Below are 10045 nucleotides of genomic sequence, written 5' to 3'. Positions count from 1 at the left end.
GGTTCTCTCAAGATCTAGTTGTTTAAAAGTGTGTAGCACCACCCCCTTCACTCTCTGTCCTGCTGGCCAAGTGAATATGTGCTTGCTTCCTCTTCACTTTATGCCATGATTGTAAGTTTCCTGAGGCCTCCCCAGCCATGCCTCCTGCACAGCGTATGGAACTGAGAGTCAATTAAGCCTCTTTTTAAAAATAAATTACCCAGTCTCAGGTAGTTCTTTATAGCAATAAACTAATACAGAAAATTGGTAGCAGAGAAGTGGGACATTGCAGTAAAGATACCTGAAAATGTGGAAGTGACTTTGGAACCAGGTAGCAGGCAGAGGTTGAAACAGTTTGCAGGGATCAGAAGAAGACAGGAAGATAAGGGAAAGTTTGGAACTTCCTAGAGACTTGCTGCATGGTTGTGACCAAAATGCTGATAGTGATACGGACAGTGAAGTCCAGGCTGAAGTGATCTCAGATAGAGATGAGGAACTTATTGGGAACTGGAGTAAAGGTCACTGTTGTTATGCTTTAGCAAAGAGACTGATGGCATTGTGCCCCTGCTCTAGGGATCTATGGAACTTTGAACTTGAGAGAGGTGGTTTAGGGTATCTGTTGGAAGAAATTTCTAAGCAGCAAAGCATTCAAGAGGTGGTCTGGCTGCTTCTAAAAGCCTATGCTTATTTGCATAAACAAAGAAATGACCTGCAACTGGGACTTACATTTAAAAGGGAAGCAGAGCATAAAAGTTCAGAAAATTTGCAGCCTGGCCGTGTGGTAGAAAAGAAAACCCATCTTCTCGGGAGTAACTCAAGAAGGCTGCATACATTTGCATAAGTAAAGAGGAGCCGAATGTTAATAGCCAAGACAAGGGGGAAAATGCCTCTGAGATATTTCAGAGAACTTCAAGGCAACCCCTCCCATCACAGGCCTGGAGGCAAAAATGGTTTTATGGGCCAGGCTCAGGGACCCACTGCTCTGTGCAGCCTAGGGACATGGCACCCTGCATCATGGAGACTTCAGCTGCAGCATTGGCTAAAAGGGGCAAGATACAGCTTGTCCATTGCTTCAGAGGGTGTAAGCCCCAAGCCTTGGTGACTTCCACATTGTGTTGGGCCTGCAGGTGTGCAGAAGGCAAGAGTTGAGGTTTGGGAGCCTCTACCTAGGTTTAAGAGGATGTGTGGATGTCCAGGGAGAAGTCTGCTGCAGGGGTGGAGACCTCATAGAGATCATCTACTAGGGCAGTGCAGGAGGGAAATGTGGGGTTGGAGGCCCCACACAGAGTCCCCACTGGGGCACTGCCTAGTGAAGCTATGAGAAGAGGGCCACTGTCCTCCAGATCCCAGAATGGTAGATCTGCTGACAGTTTGCACCATGTGCTTGGAAAAGCCACAGGCACTCAATTCCAGCCTGTGAAAGCAGCCATGGGGGCTGTATGCTGCAAAGCTACAGGGGCAGAACTTTCCAAGGCCTTGGGAGGCCACCCAGTGCATTAGTGTATCCTGGATGTGAGACAAAGTCAAAGGAGATTATTTTGAAGCTTTAAAATATAATGACTCCCCTGCTGGATTTCAGACTAGCATGGGACGTGTAGCCCTTTTGTTTTGGCCAATTTCTCTCATTTGGAATGGGAGCATTTACACAATGACTGTACCCTTATTGGATCTTGGAAGTACCTAATTTGTTTTCGGTTTTATAGGCTCATAGGTGGAAAGGACTTGCCTTGTTCCAGATGACACTTTGGACTTGGACTTTTGAGTTAATACTGGAAGGAGTTAAGACTTTGGAGGACTTTTGGGAAGGCATGCTTGTGTTTTGAAATGTGAGAAGGACATGAGATTTGGCAGGGACTAGTGGTGGCATAATATGGTTTGGCTATGTGTTGCCACCCAAATCTCATGTTGAATTGGGACCTGGTGGGAGCTGATTAGATCATGGGAGCAGATTCCCCCTTGCTGTTCTCATGATAATGAGTGAGTTATCATGAGACCTGATGTTTTAAAAATGTGTGGCACTTCCCCCTTCACTCTTTCTCTCCTGCTCTGCTATGGTAAGACATGCTTGCTTCCCCTTCACCTTCTACCATGATTGTTAAGTTTCCTGAGGCTTCCTAGTTATGCTTCCTGTACAGCCTGTGGAACTGTGAGTCAATTAAACCTCTTTTCTTCATAAATTACCCAGTCTCACTGGGCGCAGTGGCTCATGCCTGTACTCCCAGCACTTTGGGAGGCTAAGGTGGGTGGATCATGAGGTCAAGAGATTGAGACCATCCTGGCCAACATGGTGAAAACCTGTGTCTACTAAAAATACAAAAATTAGCTGGGTGTGTTGGCATGTGCCTGCACTCCCAGCTACTCAGGAGGCTGAGGCAGGAGAATTACTTGAACCCGGAAGGCAGAGGTTGCAGTGAGCCAAGACTGTGCCACTGCTCTCCAGCCTGGCTACAGAATGAGACTCCATCTCAAAAAAAGAAAAATTCCCCAGTCTCGGGCAGTCCTTTATAGAAGTGTGAGAACGGACTAATACAGCAACTATTCTTCTGTGTCTGTTTATTCATCTGTAAAATTGAGGAGATTGGAATAAATGATCCCTCTATATCCCTTCTACCTTTGATGCTTTATGAATCCAGGTTAAAGTGTGTGGTACAATTTAAGAAGGCTCCTTTTAATATTTGTATATCCATTAAGGACTCTTAGCTCAGAACTTCAGTATTATTCAATGACTCTCTCTTTCTGTCTTCCTCCTTCTCTCTCTTTACCCGCATTCAGATCAACATATAGAACATTTCCATTACCTAGGAAGTTTCCTGTGTCCTTTCCAAAACAATCTCTTATCACCATTGATTAGTTTTGCCTCTTCTTGAACATATAAATGGAATCATACAGTATGTCACCTTGTGTCTTGCTCATTTCCCTTAGCAAAATGTTTTGATATTCCTCCAATTTTTGGTTGATATTTTTAGTTCATTCCTTTCCACTGTTATGTACTCTTCCATTATATGAATGGAATTCATACAATGGATTTGTTTATCCATTCTTTTATTGATGAATTTTTGGGTAATTTCCAATTGTTGGCTATGAATCTCCTGTATTAGCTTTGCAGCTGTAATGAAACTTTTAGTCATTTCCCTCAAGATCACAATATGTTCTCTTATTAGTACTTTGGCCACTTCCCAAAGAATGCAAGATCCTTACAAGTTTACTTCCATGTATTTGTGTATCTCTCACCCTTGTGCCATTGTTGTAATACACTTTTTTATTGCATTTTATATTTCTACAAGATATTATTATTATTGTAGTTTTAAAAAGCTTTCACTACTATTTACTCATGTTTGCCCTTTCTCTGCACTTCATTTATTCTTGCATTCCCCCCTGCTGCTTTTGTTTTCTGGTTTTTGATTGCCAATAAGAGCTACAGAAAATCATGAAATATTTCTTTTAATTGTTTCTACATTTAATGTTTAATTGTTTTTGTGCTTATTGTTAGTAACTTTTTGAAACACCTTTCATTCCTTTAAGTAGAGAGGCTCTTCAGCCAAATTTTTATTCCTTAATATTTCTTTTTTCTTCCAGACATTTTGTTGTTGATGAGAGCAGAAAAGATTTCCCTTTTTGGAAAACATTATCGGGCAAAATATTTTATGGGCCAATGCCTCCATAACCTGAAACAATTGAAAGAATTCTGGATTGAAATGATAGAAATTTTATTGGCTTCTGGATTTCTTGCTGTAGATTTTTTAAGAGAAAAAATGTATTAAATCTGTTTTTAAAGTTACTAAACAACTCTACTAAAAATTGTCATGCAAGTGAAAATTGTCCTCAGCTTCTTAGGCTACCATGTGACATTTACTTCACTACTAAGCTTCACCCAAATCACGCTTTTCCCATCCCTTTCTTGCCTGAGATGCTTAATGTTTTTTCTCCTTTTTTTCTGTCAAAACCAAAGTGTATTTGTTTTTCCATGCTAAGAGTTGATAAAATATTGTCCCACTGAGGCATAAATTAGTAAGAAAATGCCAACTATTAGTTCTCCCAGTTGGTTTTATTTTTTTCATTACATTTTAGTAGGAAAAATAGGTTTTAACTTAAAAGAAAGGAACCCAAAGATGGAGTTTCAAGACATCCAATAGGAAAGACAGATAGAAATACATTTCTCTATATAGATATGTGTACATATGTTTATACATATAAATATAGATATAGATATGTGTGTATGTACATATTTCTGTATCAGTCATGGTCCAGGTGTAATTTAAAACTATTTATGGAAATACTACATAAAGCACATTTATTTATTAAAAAGAAGGATTTCCATAGTGGAGTATAAAGTTCTTTAAACAGTTAATAGGAAGACTAGTCAGGACAGAATTAGAAAAATGTATGTGAATCACCTCCAAGATATGAGAGAATTACGTGCCAGGTGTACCATAAAACAAATTATATTAGTGTTGAATATTGCATATAAGAGTATAACATAATTATGAATATAAAATATATATTATAAATAGAATGTCATTTACCAAGGTTTACCACATTAAATAATACTGTTTTTTAACCTTAAAACATACATTGTAATAAAAGTTATGATGTTCAGAATTCTAAGTATAGCATGACAAAACCCTTCTCCTATTATTTTCTTTAAAATATATAAAAAACTTTTGCTGCTTTTTGGTGGATAATAACACACACACATGTACACACACACACATGCATCCCCATTACCTTTTAATGGAACAAGGCAAGTCCTTTAATGGGGAAACATGCATTCCTATTACCTTTTAACGGGACAGTCACCATTAAAAATGTCTGCAGTTACGTATTTCTAAAATCAGCTCTGTGGGTAAGAAATTTAATGTAGCTGCCGATTCTGTGCGGTTCTGGGGAAATAATAGTTTACAATCTTCTAATTTGCCTCTAATTTCACTTCTAACTCCAACCTGTGCTCCTGAAGCAAGACGTTTTTGGACCGTCAGCAGGCAGATGAAGGCCTGAGAGTGGTAGGAGAGCTATTGTGGGCTTTCCTACCTCAGGGCTAGAGGAGGGCTTGGAGACCGGCAAAGGAAAAGATGGACCATTTCAAGTCTCAGAGCAAAAATACTAAGAGACAAAGTTGGGATGGAAAATGAAAGTGACGTGGCAATCGATAGAGGAAATTTACACAAATCTGAAAATTCTGAAAAAGAAAAAGAAGCAGAGACAATGACTATGCATCCAAAGAGAAGAAAACTCTGAGCAAATTAAAAATGTGAGCTGCACATTCCCATTACTGGGTATATACCCAAGGGATTATAAATCATTCTACTCTAAAGACACATACACATGTATGTTTATTGCAACACTATTTACAATAGCAAAGACTTGGAACCAACCCAAATGCCCACCAATGATAGACTGGATAAAGAAAATGTGGGACATATACACAGTGGAATACTATGTAGCCATAAAAAAGAATGAGTTCATGTTCTTTGCAGGGACATGGATGAATCTGGAAGTCATCATTCTCAGCAAACTCACACAGGAACACAAAATCAAACACTGCGTGTTCTCACTCCTAAGTGGGAGCTGAACAATGAGAACACATGGACACAGGGAGGGGAATATCACACACTGGGGCCTGTTACGGGGTTGGGGGGCAAGGGGAGGGGGTATTAGGAGAAATACCTAATGCCTGTGGGGCTTACAACCTAGATGATGGGGCCGGGCGCGGGGGCTCCTGCCTGTCATCCCAGCACTTTGGGAGGCCGAGGCGGGCGGATCACGAGGTCAGGAGATCGAGACCATCCTGGCTAACACAGTGAAACCCCGTCTCTACTAAAAATACAAAAAATTAGTCGGGCGTGGTGGCGGGCACCTGTAGTCCCAGGTACTCTGGAGGCAGAAGCAAGAGAACGGCGTGAACCTGGGAGGCAGAGCTTGCAGTGAGCCAAGATCGCGCCGCTGCACCCTAGCCTGGATGACAGTGCGAGACTCCGTCTCAGAGAAAAAAAAAAAATCTAGATGACGGGTTGATAGGTGCAGCAAACCACCATGGAACATGTATACCTATGTAACAAACCTGCACTTTCTACACACGTACGCCACAACTTAAAGTAAAAAAAAAAAAAAAAGGCCTGGTGCAGTGGCTCACGCCTGTAATCCCAGCACTTTCAGAGGCCGAGACGGGCAGATCACAAGGTCAGGAGATGGACACCATCCTGGCTAACACGGTGAAACCCCGTCTCTACTAAAAACACAAAAAATTAGTCGGGTGTGGTGGCGGGCACCTGTAGTCCCAGCTACTCTGGAGGCAGAAGCAAGAGAACGGCGTGAACCTGGGAGGCGGAGCTTGCAGTGAGCCAAGATCACGCCACTGCACTCCAGCCTGGGCCACAGAGCGAGACTCCGTCTCAAAAAAAATAGATAAATAAATAAAGTGAGCTGCAGTTTGAAAGGGCTCACCAACTTAGACTGATGGTATTTGTGTTGTTTGAGTTTCTTATGTTTTGGATATTGACCCTTTATTAGCTGTATAGTTTGCAAATATTTTTTCCCGTTCTGTGGGCTGTCCCTTCACTTTAAAGGTTTGCTGTGAAGAAGCTTTTTAGTTTGATGCCATTTTATTTCTCTCTTTTTGCTTTTTGCTTCTGTTGCCTGTGCTTTTGGGGTCATATCCAAATAATCATTGCCCCAGCCAATGTTGTGGGGATTTTTCTCTGTTTTCTTTTAGTAGTTTCACAGTTTCAGATATTATGTTTAGATTTTTAATCCATTTGGGTTGATTTTTGTATGTGGTATAAAATATGGATCTGATTTCATTCTCCTTCATGTGGATAGCTAGTTTTCCCCACACTATTTTTTGAAGATATTGTCCTTTCCCCATTGTGTGTTCTTGGCACCTTGGTCAAAAATCAATTGATCATACATGCATGGGTTGATTTCTGGGCTTTCTATCCTGTTTCATCAGTCAGCTTATTTTTATGCCAGTGTCATGCTATTTTCATTACAATAACTTCATAAGATTTTTGAAATTAGGGAGTGTAATGACACCAGCTTTTTTCCTTTTGCCCAAGATCGTTTTGACTCTTTAGGGTCTTTTGTAATTCCACATAAATTTAAGGATATTTTATATTGCTGTGAAAAATGACATTGGAATTTTGAGAGAGATTACATTGACACTGTAGATCATTTTGGGTTGTATGGACATTTTTGAAAGAGCGGTGTTGAGGTTCCATAATATTGTAGTATTGCCATTTATTTATCCCTTCATGTCATTTAATAATTGCTTTACGTATTTAGGTGCTCTGATGTTGGGTGCATATATAATTACAACTGTTATGCCCTCTTGGTGAACTGACCCCTTTCTCATTATTTAATGACCTTCTTTATCTCTTTTTACAGTTTTTGATTTAAAGACGATTTTGCTTGATATAAATATAGATACTCCTGGTCTCTGTTGGTGTCTATTTGCAATGAATATCTTTTTCCATACCTTCAGTTTCAGTCTGTATGTGTCCTCACTAGTAGAGTGAGTCTCTTGTAGGCAGCATATGGTTCTTTAAAAAGAAAATTTATTCAGCTGTCCTGAGTCTCTTGTTTGGAGAATTTAATCTGTTTACATTCAAAGTAATTACTGATAGGTAAGCACTTGCTACTGCTGTTTTGTCATTCATTTTCTGAATTTTTTGTAAGTCCCTGTTTCTTTATTTCTCTCTTGTTGTTTTCTTTTTGCTTTGTGGTTACCATGAGGCTTACATAAAATATCTGAGCTTTATAACACGCTACATTAAGCTGATAATAATTGAACTTTAATCTCATACTCTCACTCCCCCCTTTTATAATTTTGATGTAAAATTTTTAATTTGTTTTTGTAATTTGTATTCCTTAACAATTGCAGCTACAGTTGCTTTTAATAGTTTTTCCTTTTAATCATCACAGTAAGGATACGATTGCTTTATGTATCACCCATACAGTGTTAGAGAATGAGTTTGATTATGTATTACTTAATACCATTGAGTTATTGAGATTTTTACATGCATTTTTTTTGTTATTAAGTAGAAACCTTCCATTTCAGCTTAAAGAACTGCCTTTAGCCATTCCTGTAAAGCAGGGATAATGTAATAGACTCCCTTAGGATTTGTTTGTCTGGGGAAGTTGGAATTCTCTCTTATTTCTTTTTTTATCTTTTTTTTTTTTTGAGATGGAGTCTTGCTCTGCTGCTGCAATCTTGGCTCACTGCAACCTCTCCCTCCCAAGTTCAAGTGATTCTCCTGCCTCAGGCTCCCAAGTAGCTGGGAATACAGGTGCATGCCACCACACCCAGCTAATTTTTGTATTTTTAGTAGAGATGGGGTTTCACCGTGTTGGCCAGAATGGTCTTGATCTCCTCACCTCGTGATCTGCCCACCTAGGCCTCCCAAAGTGCTGGGATTACAGGCGTGAACCACCCTGCCCAGCCAATTCTCTCTTATTTTTTAAGGACAACTTTGCCAAGTAAAAAATTCCTGGTTGGCAGTTCTTTTTCTTCAGCACTTTGAATATATCACCCCAATCTCTCTTGGCCTGCCGAGTTTTTGCTAAGAAGTCAACTGAAAGTCATATTGTGGTTTCTTGAATGTGATATGTTTCTTATCTCTTGCTGCTTTCAGTTTTGTTTCTTTGTCTTTGATTTTTGATAAATTGATTATGTTTTATCTTGGTAAATTCCTTTTTGAGTGGAATTTGATTGGAGACTTTTGAGCTTCCTGTATTTAGATGTTGTCATCTTTCCCCAGATTGGGGAAATGTTCAGCCATTTTCTTAAATATCCTTTTTGGGCCTTCTTCTCTATCTTCTTCTGAATCTCCGATTATGTGAATATTAGTTTGCCTGATGGTATCTCATAATTCCTGTAGGCCTCCTTTATTCTTTTTCTTTTTGCTCTTCAGACTGGATAATTTCAATATACCTATCTTTGAATTCAGTGATCCTTTCTTTTGCTTGATCAAGTCTGCTGTCAAAGCTTTCCATTGACATTTTCAGTTAAACTATTGTATTCTTTATACCTCAGATTTCTATTTGGTTTCTATTTATCATCTCTAGTTCTTTGTCAATTTCTCATTTTGTTCATGAATTGGTTTCAAACTTAATTTAATTTAACTGGAGTTCCCTGAACTTCTTTAAGGGGGTTATCCTGAACTCTTTGTCAGTCATTTTATAGATCACCTTATATTCCAGAGCTATTATCTGATCTTTATTATTTTCTTTTAGTGGTGTCATATTTCCCTGACTTTTCATAATACTTCTGTCTTGCATTGATGCTTCTGTGTTTGAGGAGACGGCCACCTCTTCCAGGCTTTGACAGATCTTTACTACTTCGTAGGAAGGGATTCTGGATGTGTTAGCTGGCAATGACCCTGGACGGGCAGAGCTTGGTGTCAGGTTCTCTAGTTGGGCTGTGTCACTTCCTGAGCCCTAAGGTTGAATGGTACTGCTAACTGGACTCTGCAGTTCACTCTGATCCAGCAGGATTGTAGGCTGTCTCCGCTGGTTGGATGGTATTGTTGTTTAGAATCTATAGTTGAGCAGGCCTTTGTGCTGAGCTCTATGGTCTACTAAAGACTCTGGTGTTGTTGCTCAGCTACACAGGGCTGATCAGGGCTAGAAGCCATTATGCCCCACACATATGTGCGGACTTGATCTTGTCTCCTGGCCTAAGGTAGGCTTAAACAAAGCTTAGTGGAGTCCCTGGTCAGCTGCTGGTGCTGGGTGGGGACCAGATGTACCCTCTGCAGAGAAGTGCTGACTTTCACTTGCCTTCTAGCCTGGGCAATGCTGTAGAAAGCACCAGGTCTATGTAGGAAAGCTGGCGAGGGATGCGAGCTGGGTAGATCTGTGAGCTGTACTTCCTGCGGTACAATGCTGTTGGCTAGTCTCTCTCATATGATGCCTCCATTAGCCAGAATGCAGACTAACTACATGCTAGTCTCTGTGAGATCTACTCCCATTCTTTGTTTCTAGCTGACTCCAGGTGGTCTAGCCCCGATGGCACTCCTAATGTTTCCTGTGGTATAAGACAAGGATGAGCCTCCTGTGAAGGGTCCTAGAA

Source organism: Homo sapiens, chromosome 9 (assembly GCF_000001405.40).
Source record: "Homo sapiens chromosome 9, GRCh38.p14 Primary Assembly".
In the NCBI taxonomy this organism is placed as follows: domain Eukaryota; kingdom Metazoa; phylum Chordata; class Mammalia; order Primates; family Hominidae; genus Homo; species Homo sapiens.
The sequence above is the reverse complement of the archived record's forward strand: the minus strand, read 5'-3'. Positions refer to the sequence as shown.